At 58.2% G+C, this 12,518-nt stretch overlaps 2 protein-coding genes across 7 annotated transcripts in view, besides 1 other annotated feature; both read right to left on the bottom strand.

Annotated features, from left to right (window-relative positions):
- The window catches only part of PRR5-ARHGAP8 (PRR5-ARHGAP8 readthrough), a 160,581-nt gene that overhangs the window by 118,442 nt on the left and 29,621 nt on the right, over window positions 1-12,518 (bottom strand). The gene's annotated exons all lie outside the window — the stretch shown is intronic.
- The window catches only part of PRR5 (proline rich 5), a 68,931-nt gene continuing 63,074 nt past the window's right edge, over window positions 6,662-12,518 (bottom strand). For all 6 annotated transcript variants that reach the window (NM_001017528.3, NM_001017529.3, NM_001198721.2 and 3 more), the window contains 3 exons: window positions 11,952-12,092; window positions 9,181-9,316; window positions 6,662-7,571 (listed from right to left, as the gene is read on the bottom strand). In NM_001017528.3, the coding sequence (NP_001017528.1) occupies window positions 7,096-7,571; window positions 9,181-9,316; window positions 11,952-12,092 (753 nt within the window). In that variant the 3' untranslated portion in view covers window positions 6,662-7,095. The remainder of the gene's footprint in view (window positions 7,572-9,180; window positions 9,317-11,951; window positions 12,093-12,518) is intronic.
- Window positions 8,132-8,720: an enhancer, noted in NCBI's record as "H3K4me1 hESC enhancer chr22:45131503-45132091 (GRCh37/hg19 assembly coordinates)". NCBI's record gives its function as "activates a minimal SCP1, AML or CMV promoter by ChIP-STARR-seq in primed H9 embryonic stem cells {active_cell/tissue: H9 hESC(primed)}" and the evidence as "EXISTENCE:reporter gene assay evidence [ECO:0000049][PMID:30033119]".

Below are 12,518 nucleotides of genomic sequence, written 5' to 3'. Positions count from 1 at the left end.
CCTGTGGGGTGATTTGGGACACCGTTCCTGGAAGTGGGCTTGGCTCACCCACCTCATCACAGCTGTAGGAGCTCGCAACATTCTTCAATAAACTCCTTCTCTGCATGATCATTGGCATCTGCCTCGGCTGCTTGCAAATCAGAGCCCGCCTGATCCTGCATCCTCATATTTTACACTCCCCTGGCCTCTTCCCCTACCAAGCACAGGCTGACATGAATCCCCATCGTGAGAAGAGGAATGTCAGTATGAGAAATTCCTCTTGCAGATGATGTCAATGATAGTTTACATTTTTATAGCTTTTTACAGCCTGTGAGAGCAGTTCTGAGCTCTCTGCAAACACATCAGTCAATGAGAAGAAGGGTTCTTGGGGGTAAAACCATCCGTTTATTATTAAGCCATTATCACCTTCAGGTCAAAAACCATTAAGTACGCGTCTGCCCGATGCTTGTCATCTGCACAGAGCTCCTTTGTCAGAGATGTCTGGTGTCTGGAGTTTACAATCTAACAGCCCTGCTCTGCATGTGAGTCCACGGTGCACAGACAGGCAAAGAAACAGTGCTGGTCACTGATTTCATAGCTGGGGAGATCCTGGCTATAGATCGGGAAACTGAGGACAGGGCGACCTGCCCAATATCACACAGTGCCCAATTTACGATCAGATCCTGGAGGTCCTGGCTCTGCCCATGAGGGGTGTATGACATACATAAATATATACAATGAAATATCCCATGCTGGCCTTCTCCCCACTCAAGGACTACGTGATTCTAGGGTACTGGGAAGAAGGAGTGTAGCGTCAAGTCAAACCTGGTTGTGCCGAGCGACAAGCATCTCCCAATCACAGGGGCCTCCACCACCGTAGCCGGCCTTCTTATCCAGGCCACACGTCTACCTGCTGGAGCAGGCTTGCCTGGGACACTGCCAACCACCGTGGCAGAGGGAAGGACAGTCCTGGAGGGGCCTGTGTCTGGCAATGAAATCCTCCAGATCTAGAGCACCCCGCATCACTTCCACTTAGAACTCACTGGCCAGGGCTGGTCATATCGCCACCCCCAGCTACATGGGGACCGGAAAGAGCATCATAATTCTTAGGTGCTCATCTCCAGTCTGTGTCAGTTGCATCCCTGGCAGAGGCTCCTGTGCCTTGGCATCCTCCCTACTCCTCCCAGCGTTTCTGAGGCTACTGCCTGCTTTACTGCTGGACAGTCCTGGAGTTGGGGACCACGGTCCCCCGATGGAGTGCTGTGTCCCTCCACTCCAGTCTCAGTAGAGGGGCCAAGACGATCAGTTCACGCTCCCTGAGGAAAGCAGCTACAGGGACTGCAAGGAAGGAAGGAGTCCTTTCCTCTCTCCTTTCCTTCCTTCTCTATCTTTCCTTTCTTTCCTTTCTTTCTCCTTCCTCCCTTCGTCCCTCCCTTCCTTCCTTTCCTTCCTTCCTCCCTCCCTCCCTTCCTTATTAAAAAAAAATTAGCCAGGTGTGGTGGCATGTGTCTGTAGTCCCAACTACTCTGGAGGCTGAGGTGGGAGGATCACTTGAGTCGGGAGGTTGAGGCTGCAGTGAGACATGATTGTGATTATGCCACTGCATTGTAGCCTGGGCAACAGAGGGAGACCCTGTCCCCACTGCAAAAACAAAAAACAAAAAACAAAGTTGGCCTATAATTAAGACTTCTGGGTTGGCTGGGCATGGTGGCTCACGCCTGTGAAACCAGCACTTTGGGAGGCCCAGGCAGGTGGATCATGAGGTCAAGAGATTGAGACCATCCTGGCCAACATGGTGAAACCCTGTCTCTACTAAAAATACAAAAATTAGCTGGGTGTAGTGGTGCACGCCTGTAATCCCAGCTACCTGGGAGGCTGAGGCAGGAGAATTATTTGAAACCGGGAGGTGGAAGCTGCAGTGAGCCGAGATTGTGAGACTGCACTCCAGCAGCCTGGGCGACAGAGTGAGACTCCGTCTCAAAAAAAAAAAAAAAAAAAAAAAAAAAAAAAAAAAAAAAGGCTTCTGGGTCTATACCTAAAAGAATTGGAAGCAGGATCTCAAAGACATATTTGTACACCCGTGTTCATAGCAACATTCTTCACAACAGCCAAAAGGTGGAAGCTTCCTTCCCTCCCTTCCCTCTCTCCTTGGCTCCCCTCCCCTCCCCTCCTCTCCCCTTCCTTGTGTGTTTACTGTGGTAAAATACACACCATAAAGTGGGCAGTTGAGTAGTGTTAAGTCACATTCATGTCGCTGAGCAGCCGATCTCCAGAACTCTATTTATCTTGCAAAACTAAACTCGAATCCCATCGATGACTCCTTAAACCCCCTCCCGCAGGGTCTGGCGACCACCACTCTACTTTCTGTCCCCGTGGATTTGCCTATTCTGAACATCTCGGAATGGAATCATCCAGTATGTGGTGTTTCCTGGCTGGCTTCTTTCACCTCACATCAGGTTTTTTTTTTTTTTTTTTTTTTCTGAGACGGAGTCTCGCTCTGTCACCCAGGCTGGAGTGCAGTGGCACGATCTCTGCTCACTGCAAGCTCCGCCTCCCGGGTTCACGCCATTCTCCTGCCTCAGCCTCCCGAGTAGCTGGGACTACAGGTGCCCGCCACCACGCCCAGCTAATTTTTTGTATTTTTAGTAGAGACGGGGTTTCACCGTGTTAGCCAGGATGGTCTCGATCTGCTGACCTCGTGATCTGCCCGCCTCTGCCTCCCAAAGTGCTGGGATTACAGGCATGAACCACTGCGCCCGGCCTCACATCAGGTTTTTAAGTCTTATTCATGTTGTAGCATGTATCAGGACTTCATTATTATTATCATTTGGACTTCATTCTTTTCCGAGGCTGAAGAATATTCCCTTGTATGGATGACTACGTTGCATATCCATTCAGCTAACGATGGGCACTTTGTTGTTTCTACCTTTTGGCGGTTGTGAAGCATGCTGCTATGAACATGGGTGTGCAAATATCTCTTTGAGATCCTGCTTCCAATTCTTTTGGGTATAGACCCAGAAGTCTCAATTATAGGCCAACTTTTTTTTTTGTGGCAGGGACAGGGTCTCACTCGGTTGGCCAGGCTGCAGTGCAGTGGCGTGATCACGACTCACTGCAGCCTCAACCTCCCAGACTCAAGTGATCCTCCCACATCGGCCTCCAGAGTATTGGGACTACAGGCACGTGCCACCACACTTGGCTAATTTTTAAAATATTTTTTATAGAGACAGAGTTTCACCCTGTTGTCCAGGCTGGTTTCCAACTCCTGAGCTCAAGCAATCCACCCACCTTGCCCTCTCAAAGTGCTAGGTCCACAGGTGTGAGCCACCGTGCCTGGCTGTAAGCTATTACTTTCATGGTCAGATGGAAAATGACAAATGGGCCCACGCTTATTGTGGGCACCCCTTTGGCCTACACGCTTCCCAGTCCCTCTCTCTTCTTCTGGAGTCTTCCCTTCTCTGGGAGGGCCTTCGGCTGCAGGCATCTCCACCTTGGGACTCCTCCTCTTCCTCTTCCCAGGGCCAGCACATCCAGAGAGCATGTTTGCCCCCTACCTCGTGATTCCTGGGCCACAGCCCACCCAGCAGCACTTTCCTGAAACGGAGCTATTCCTTCTGGAGATGAATATCACGGGGTCCAAAGTGGGTGCTTGAGAGGGCACGCGGGGTGGGCATCAGCACTCCAATGGACCCGCCTCTGAGACCTCCTACCAGGGCTTAGCTGCTGTGTGGTGTATACTTGCACACACACACACACACACACACACACACACCCACCCATCCACTCTCGCGCGCGCGCACACACACACCCCCAAACACTTGTGCGTGCGTGCAGACACACACACCTACCCACTTACACACACACACACACACACACACACGGACGCCCAAACAAATCTGAGCTCTCAGCAGGGGTGCAGTCAGGGTCACTGGGAAGCCTATCGTAACCCACCCTGGGTTTTCCTAAGTGCCACCTCCACCCCAGACGCTGTCACAGTGCAGGTGAGGCTCACATGTCCCGGCAGGCCCACGGACCCCAAGGCGGGGCTGAAATGCAGATTTAGGGTCAGCAGATGGGGCCAGGGCCTGAGATTGTGCATTTGAGAGGTAAGGGGTAGAGCGTTCACGAGAATCCTGCACAAAACTTACAACAAGCACACAAAAGACAACAACGATAAAGCAGTTTCTAGAACCCCAGCCCTGGAGATGCAGAGGAATCCACCCCACTGGACACCCCGGTGATGCCGATGGTAGACCAACCACTAACTAATTAACCACCGATTTCACTCGTTTAACAAACCTTAGGGTGTGGAAGACAGAACAGCAAATGTTAAGAAGCCGTGTCTGCTCATTTCTGTTGTCAACATAATTTCATCGAGCCCTGACTGTGACAAGGCGCAGCTCTCCAGGAGGATGCCTTGAAGACCAAACAGGATGGAGCACACGGTCTCCCACGCCTCTTCCCTGAGTCACTCTATTCCTTAAAAGATAAATAAGGGCCGGGTGCAGTGGCTCATGCTTGTAATTCCAGCACTTTGGGAGGCCGAAGTGGGCGGATCACCTGAGGTCAGGAGTTCAAGAATAACCTGGTCAACATGGTGAAACCCCGTCTCTACTAAAAATAGAAAAATTAGCCAGGCATGGTGATGCATGCCTATAGCCCCAGCTACTCGGGAGGCTGAGGCAGGAGTATCACTTGAACCTAGGAGGCAGAGGTTGCAGTGAGATGAGATTGCGCCACTGCACTCCAGCCTGGGTGACAGAGCGAGACTCTGTTGGGATTACAGGTGTTTACCAATTTATAAGATGTCTGAATGCAGATCACCTCTGACATCTTTGGGAACAAGGCTAGGACACACACACACACCCTCTTGGTGGGCTGCTGCTTTCTGGGAGTGGGAGTGCAGCCTCCTCACCTCCTTGGGGCCCCCACTGAGTCCTGTGAGCTGCTGCAGGGCCCAGGCCCAGCACCCACCCTCCTGGACTGCAGCCCCCCAATCTGTGGTTGGGGATGCTGCTGGCTGCTGCCCAGGGGCCTCCCCTCCTGCCCCAGGGCAGGAGGACTGAGAGCTTAGGGACTGCCTTGCCAAGGGTCCAAGTGCCAGCCAGCAGGGGCCACCAGTCCCTGGGCCACCCCAGGCCCGGCAGCATCCAGGGGCCAGGGATGCTCGACCCCCCACGATGGAACCCCCACCACTCAGGGGACAGAACACAGGGTCTAGCACCCTGGTGTGGACAGAGCCCAGACAGCAACTCCCTGCCACGGCTTCTGGTCTTTGGTCCTCCTGCCTTGAGGTGACCGCTGGGAACCCTCCTGCCCATGTTGCTAATGGTCACCCACTACTCCCCGCCTCAGGCCACCTCGGGCTCCATGATGGAGCTGGGAGCCAAAGAGGTTGGTCCACGGATCTCGGCCTCATCAGCCTGGCTTAGTGGTTCTCAGACCAGGTTCTGGCTTTCTGTTCAACGACCACCTGTCCCCCAGGCCTGGGTCCCGAGGCTGCTCTTGCTCCCCTACTTGCCCAGCTGAGCCCTGCCTGGGGCACATTACCCATTCCGAGTAGCTTCAGAGAGCTCCACAGGGTTGGTATGCACCCGTATCACAGATGACAAAACTGCGGCTCAGCAGAGTCAGAAAGCCAGAGCTCCCCCTGCCCCCACCCCTACACCCTCCTATCCTGAGCTGAAGCAGGGGCGCCAGGTCTGCTTCTCCCACCAGAGAGGGAAACTCCTCCATCCAGAAGGCTCTGCTGGGAGACAGCCTGGGCCAGCTCCGGCCGTGACTCAGGGGTCAGGTGACGTCCTCCTGCTCACGCCCGGCTCACACCCACCCTCTCCCTCCAATCACACCTGGTTCCCCTGCCCTGGGCCTGTCCTTCATTTGCTCAGCACTCCTTTCCCACCTTGAGAAAACGCCATGAGAGGCGAGCGCGTGGAAGGCTGCGGGGGTGGCAGATCAGCAGGTGAACGGGGTGTGGAAAGGTGCCCGCCGTTAGAGACCCCTCCACCCCTCCCCATGGAGGCCACGCTGACCCGATGCTTTAAAACGGCGGGGGTGGCTAGGGAAGGCTGCCCCAGGCTCAGCTCCTGCCCCGATAGTAGGGGTGCCCGTGGTGCTGGGCTGGCCTTTGGCTCTCAGTAACACTCGGGCCCCACTGACGGGGGAACAAAGAGCCCTGCCTGCTACGGCTGATGCGGTATCCTGCCCACCTGAGGGCCCGGGGAAAGCCTGTCTGGGGATAGTGAGGCTGCAGGGGAGGTCAGAGCAGGTGTTAGTTTGTGCTTCCCAGGCCGGATGGCCTTCAGCAGGTCACCCCCACCCCCTAGGCCACCTGGACGCTTCTGTAGCACGGGAGGAGCTGGCAGATCCCGCCCCCACCCCTCCTTCCCTCCTTCAAAGGCTTCAGTGAGTCCATCCCTGCTAAGGCCAGGGGCAAAGTCAGGGCCAGACTCCTGTGCGGCAGGGCCAGCCCCACTCCCTAGCATCCCAGCCCTTCCTTCCACAACCTCCCGGTCCTCCCATCAGGGACAGGGACGGTGGAGCAGTAGGGAGGCCTGGACAACAGGCACAGGTCTGCCCCCTCCACACAGACCCTGGAAACCTGCGCTCCCTAGAAGGGAGCGAAGGCCTGAGGGTGAGCACCCTGAAGGGGCGCCCCCAGGGCAGGCACTGCAGACATGAGCCAGGTTGACAGGTTTTATTCCACCCCCTTCCATCCCCATGGCCACCCCAGGCAGGAGGAGACAGGTGTGCTGGAGTCTGGTCACTTTGGGGCCCGGCGTGGGCAGAGCCCACTGGGTTTACATTCTCTGTGGGCAGGTGTGGACACCAGAGGGCTGGGGCAGGAGGAGCGTGGGAGCGAGCGGCCGACCCCCGTCTCTGGCCCGGCCCCTGGGTAAACGCCGACTCAGATGCCTGAAACAGACCTGGGCCGAGCAAGGAAGGCTGATGGTATTTCCAACCAAGACAGAAATACAAAGTGACCAAGGCCAGTGACGAGGCCGATAGGGCTGGCGGGACGGGACGCAGTAAAAAAGTCTCACTCACACACACGCCACATGGACACCCCCGCACACAGGGACGTGTCAGTAAAAACTCAAGGCCAGCTGTGAGGCCTCACACGACACTCTGCCGGCCCCCAGAGCCCTCCAAGTCGGACATGCCAGAGCCCCGGCCCCGGCCAAAGTCAATGAAAATCCCTTCAGAATCCGAGTCCACGGACTCCAGGATCTGGTCCACCAGGTTCTCCGGGCTGGAGCGGGGCAGGGAGCTGCGGGTGGGATCCAAGCCCTGCTCAGGGGGCTGGGTCGTGGGGTACAGTCTGCTGGGGCAGGGCCCTGAGTGGGGCGCCGGGGAGGACCTGAAGGTCCCGGTGGGGCCCTGGCCGGGCGGGTCGGAGAAGCCCTGAGGCTCGGGGCAGGACGTCATCTCCGACACAGAGTGCCTGCGGATGCTGGTACCGCCGGCCGCCGCGCCCTCCGCCTCGTGCTCCTGCACGGGGTTCAGCAGAGGCGTGTTGTAGCTCTTGGAGCGCACCACAGGGTTCTTGGCCAGCACGTCCCCCGAGCGGGAGCGGCGGAGGAGGCGCTTTTCTGGGGAGAGACACGGGCACTGTCACACCAGAGGCCACCTGGGTCCCCGCCCGCCTTGGCACCTGCTGCTCACTGCACACTGGGTCCCTGTGCAGGGGCAGCTGCAGGGAAGGCCCGACCCGGGGCCCGGCTCAGCAGGTCCCACCGCCACAAGCCCTGACACCAGCTCAGGTTCCAGTCTCTCTTCTCCAGCCTAGGCCCAGCCTGGTCACACAGGACCTCAAGTCAAATGCCTGGGTTTGAACCTGCACCCCGCCAGCGACCTCTGTTTGACCTTAGGTAAGTTACCTCACCCCCGTGCCTCAGTTTCCCCACTTGTGGAAGTGTATGGACTTTGGCACCTGCTGGACACCTGTACTTTCCCAGGCAGGCGCAGCCCCTGCCCCACTGGAGCTGGTGTCCAAGGGGATGGTGGGAGGGCCAAGAAGCCCAAAGAGGCGAGCCATGGGGCCAGGTTGTGGGGCTGTGATGGGAGCAGATGGGGACAGGCCCTCCATGTAAGGTCAAGGCGGGGATTCCATCCTGGGGATGCGGGGAGCCTGTAGCCAGGCAGTTGTAAATGGGCCTCGCTGGCCGCTGCGTGGAGAGTAATAGACTGTGGGGGCTGAGGGTAGACGTGGGGACCCAGGGAGGAGGCCCCTTGGTTCATCTGGGCGGGAGGCAGTGGCACAGGTGGCCAAGGCTGGTTGGGGGGCAGGGTTCAGGTTCCCATGCAGGACCCTGCAATCCCAAGAGTGGCCACCAGGTGGCGGGCGACACACACGAGCGGCTCAGGGGCCTTTCCCAGACCAGAGGATGCGGGTCCCATCAGGCAGGGGCTGGGGTCCTGCCATCCAGGGCTACACCAAGCCTGGGTGGCTCAAAGTTCTCCAGCAGCCAGGGCACTGCCTGAGCTGAGACACACCAGTGGGCAGGTTTTACACCAGCAGGTGGGGACGGGGAGCCCCTCTGGATGAGGAGGGCATAGTCCCAAGCGGGCCTTGCCCCAGCTCTGTCCCCTCTGCCTGGGATGCTCCCAGCTTCCAGCTAATGGTGGGTCGTGGAGGAGACTCACTGGTCGGCCTCCCCCGCGGGAGGGGAAGGGCGTGGGCTCGGGATGGGGCACAACAGGTACTCAAGGGACATTGCTGAAGGAACCCAGAGGCCCTCCGTCAAGGGAGCAACGTGGCCAGCTGTGCTGGACGCGCCAAGCAGTCCCGGGATGCTGCCCACAGGGCTCAGCCTGCCCACCCCCAGGCCGAGTCCCTCCCAGCCTGGGTCCCCTAACTGAGCCAGGAGTCCTCAAGCTTCGGCATTTGCATGTTCCGAGCACTCCGCCTGGCCCACTTCTGACTTTCAAGACTGCACATGAATGTGGCCTCCTGGGGAACACGGAGGTCTGGTGGAGCTCTCCAAGGTGTTGCCACATCACCGCTCAGGGTGTGTGCCCACTCTCACGGATCCCCACGTCCAGGCCAGCATATGGCAGGCTGGGGGCTGCTGCCCGGCTGAGAACCAGTCTGGAGTCAGATCCTGGTTCTGTCGTGGGGCCTCGGCTTGCCCATTTGTTCACAATGGATGGGGCCCGTGGTCACCCCTGCCCCAGCCCAAGGCCCAGGCGGACCCCTACCCAGGATGCAGGAATGGGTGAAGGGCCCCTCGCTGGAGTGGAGGCCGTAGGTGCCCAGGTATGGCGACACCACCTTCTGGACCAGCGTCTCCAGGCGCAGGTAGTCCTCAGTCACGCCCCTGGACTCATGTACCCCCTGCAGGAGAGTGGGGCAGGGGGTAGGGGGTCATGCACCCGAGCTTGGTGGCTCCAGGCTCTCAACCATATGTCCCACCCACCAGACAGCCTGTCCTCTGCCTCCCGCCTCCCCATTCCCACAGGCTCTCTGTCCCCATGGCAGGGCCCACGGTGGCCTCCCAGCCCCTCTCAGAGCATGTGGCCTGAGTCACTCTGCTGCTCACAGCAGCGTCGGGATCTGGGAGACCATGGTGTGCCCTGGAAAAAGGCCCTGTGGCCAGATGAGATGGGTGTTCTGCACCTTCCACCCCTCGGAGGGGCCCTGTACTCAAGAGTCCTAGAGGCTTTGGACAGTCTCTCCAGAGACACTGGCTGACCCCACGCAGGGAGGGCCAAGCTGCTCACCTGGGGCTCCCTGCCCCATGGGGCCAGGTGCAGTCCACATCCATCAGGGACCACCTCACAAGCCCCACTCTCTTCTTCCCATCACTGGCTCACGCCATCATCTCCCCTCATCCGGAGCTCTGAAGGGCTCACCGCTACCTCCAGGTGTATTTGAGCCAAGGCCCGGGAGATGAGGCTGCTCACCCAGCTGTGCGCTGAGCTGGGACAAAAGCTCTGGGACCTCAGCACCCAGCAAAGAGGGCTGGGAGAAAGCTGACTTATAACGAGTGCTTGCACTCATTAAATAAGTGAATGAATGGAAGACAGCAGGCCTCAAGGGGCTGTCAGGGGGTTCAGGGACAAGATACACGGGGGTAGAATTTTTTTTTTTGAGACAGAGTTTCGCTCTGTCACCAGGCTGGAGTGCAGTGGTGCGATCTTGGCTCACTGCAACCTCCGCCTCCCAGGTTCAAGTGATTCTCCTGCCTCAGCCTCCCGAGTAGCTGGGACTACAGGCATGCATCACCATGCCCGGCTAATTTTTGTATTTTTAGTAGAGACGGGGTTTCGCCATGTTGGCCAGGATGGTCTCAATCTCCTGACCTTGTGATCTGCCTGCCTTGGCCTCCCAAAGTACTGGGATTGCAGGCATGAGTGACTGCACCCGGCCACACCCAGGTACAATTGTAAGTGACAATCCAGCCAGCCAGAGGCGAGGACTAACCCAGGACTCTTGGGATGGCTGTGGGAGGCCACTCCAGGCAGGGAGTGAGGCACGGTCCAGGCCACGTCCCTGGGGGTGAGCAAAGTCGCCTGAACTCTTGGGGTTTCGGGGCTGGTACAGGCTCCTATGTCCTGGCCTGTGTTACAATGAGTAGGTGGGACTCCACAGGTGCCCACAGTAAGGTCACCTACACTAACACAGGGGACCCCACGTGTCCCTGGAATTGTCTGCCTGTAGGAGCAGTGACTTGGTTGTGAATGACCAAGTCCTCACCTATCCTGCCAGGGAGGAGGCCTCCCTCTGTTAAAGACCGGGAAGCTGAAGCTGACACAGCAAAGTCCCTCAAGGGTCCCCGCTTCAACCCAGCCAGGCCTGACCTAAACTCTCTCAACTTCCACCCAGGGCAGCCCCCACCTTGCACAGCTCCACACTGGCCGCCCCTTCCTTGCTCTGGTTGCCCTGTGAGGGTCCCGAGTGTCCTCACAGACCCTAATTTTAAAAGAGCTTCACGGGGATTCAGAACGATAAAGAGGGCTTTGCACCTGCGAGAGCCGGGGTGAAGCTGGGCTCCCGCCCTTATTAGCTCATAGCAAGCAGGACTTGGGTCCCCTACCTGTAAAATGGGGTGGCCGGCAGTGACTGTGTGGTCCTGCGACAGTGTGATGAGCCGGCCAACTGCAAAGTGTGGTGCCTGGGAAGGGCCGTGTGCAGAAACCCCTGGCTTGCGGTGGATGCCACTGGGGGCCCCACTCCTTTCTGGGGCAGGCACCTCTCCCCACCTGCTGTGAGGGGGGCTAACAGCTCTCAGAGTGTCTTCCCCAGAGCTGACCCACTGACAAAAGCCCTCTGGGCAGAAATGACTGGGACACTGTGTGTATGTGTGCGTGCATGCAAGTATGTGTGTAGTGTGTATGTGCATGTGCACGTGTGTAGTATGTGTGCGCGCACATGTATGTGTGTAGTGTGTATGCGTGTGCACGCGTATGTGTGCACACGTGTGTAGTATGTGCGTGCGCACGTGTGTAGTGTGTATGCGTGTGCACGTGTGTGGTGTGTGTGTGCAGTGTGTAGTATGTGCGTGTGCACGTGTGTGCACGTGTGTAGTATGTGCGTGCACACGTGTAGTGTGTATGCGTGTGCACATGTAGTATGTGCGTGCACACAGGCATGTGTGTAGCGTGTGCGTGCACACGTGTGTGGTGTGTATGCATGTGCACGTGCATACTATGTGCGTGTGCACAAGTATGTGTGTAGTGTGTATGTGCGTGTGCGTGCTGGGGGTGGGCACAGCCCCAGGCTGGCCGACACAGGGTGTAAAGGCCCAGCCCTGTGCCCAAGAGGAACGGGTCTGCAGCTTGAGCTCTCCTGCACCCACAGCTCTGACCAGCTGCTCCCCGGTCCCTGGCCCTGACAGGCTTCTCCTCTGATCGGGCCCTTCCTTAAGTCTCGTGCCCCTAAATCCTCATCTCATGCTCTGCCTGTGGGGACCTGAGCCCAATTACTGCCCCACGGTCCCCATGCCCGACCCTCTGCCCACTGTGCCCACCTGCAGCACCAGCAGCATCTGCACGATGGCAGGGGGCACACGGGCATGGGCCCGGGCCAGCGCATCCTCTAGCTTCACACTGAGGGTGATGGCATTCCGGAAGTGCAGCAGGGCCAGCTGGCGCACCGATGGCTCCTTGCCCTGTGGACGGAAGGCACCCCACCCCACCGGCTGTGGTCACATGCGTCCTCATCTCCCCTCTCCCGGTCCTGGGACCCCACAGGGGGAAGAGACCTGCCGACCCTCAGGCCCCTCCACCCCGTTCTCCTCAGATGACCCCGTCCCAAGGATAGAGGGCCCCTTCAGTTTCCTCTGGCAGTGAAAGGGTTACTGTCACAGAGCCCCTACGCTGTGCCTCGCTGCTGGGGGATTCACAGGGAGGGAGGCGTCCATATCTGCAGCTTGAAGGGGTGGAAACAGGCTCTGAGCAACTCAGGTAGCCCAAGGAGAGCAGCACAGAGCAGAGCAGGTGTGTGTGTCCCCAAGCCTGGCGGCCCCCCTCTGTAGAGTGAGGCCAGGGTGGGCACAGCAGGGGCACTGGGCTTCCCTCCCCAGGGCTGGGCTGCC

This window comes from Homo sapiens, chromosome 22 (assembly GCF_000001405.40).
Source record: "Homo sapiens chromosome 22, GRCh38.p14 Primary Assembly".
Classification (NCBI taxonomy): Eukaryota; Metazoa; Chordata; class Mammalia; order Primates; family Hominidae; genus Homo; species Homo sapiens.
The sequence above is the reverse complement of the archived record's forward strand: the minus strand, read 5'-3'. Positions and strand labels throughout refer to the sequence as shown.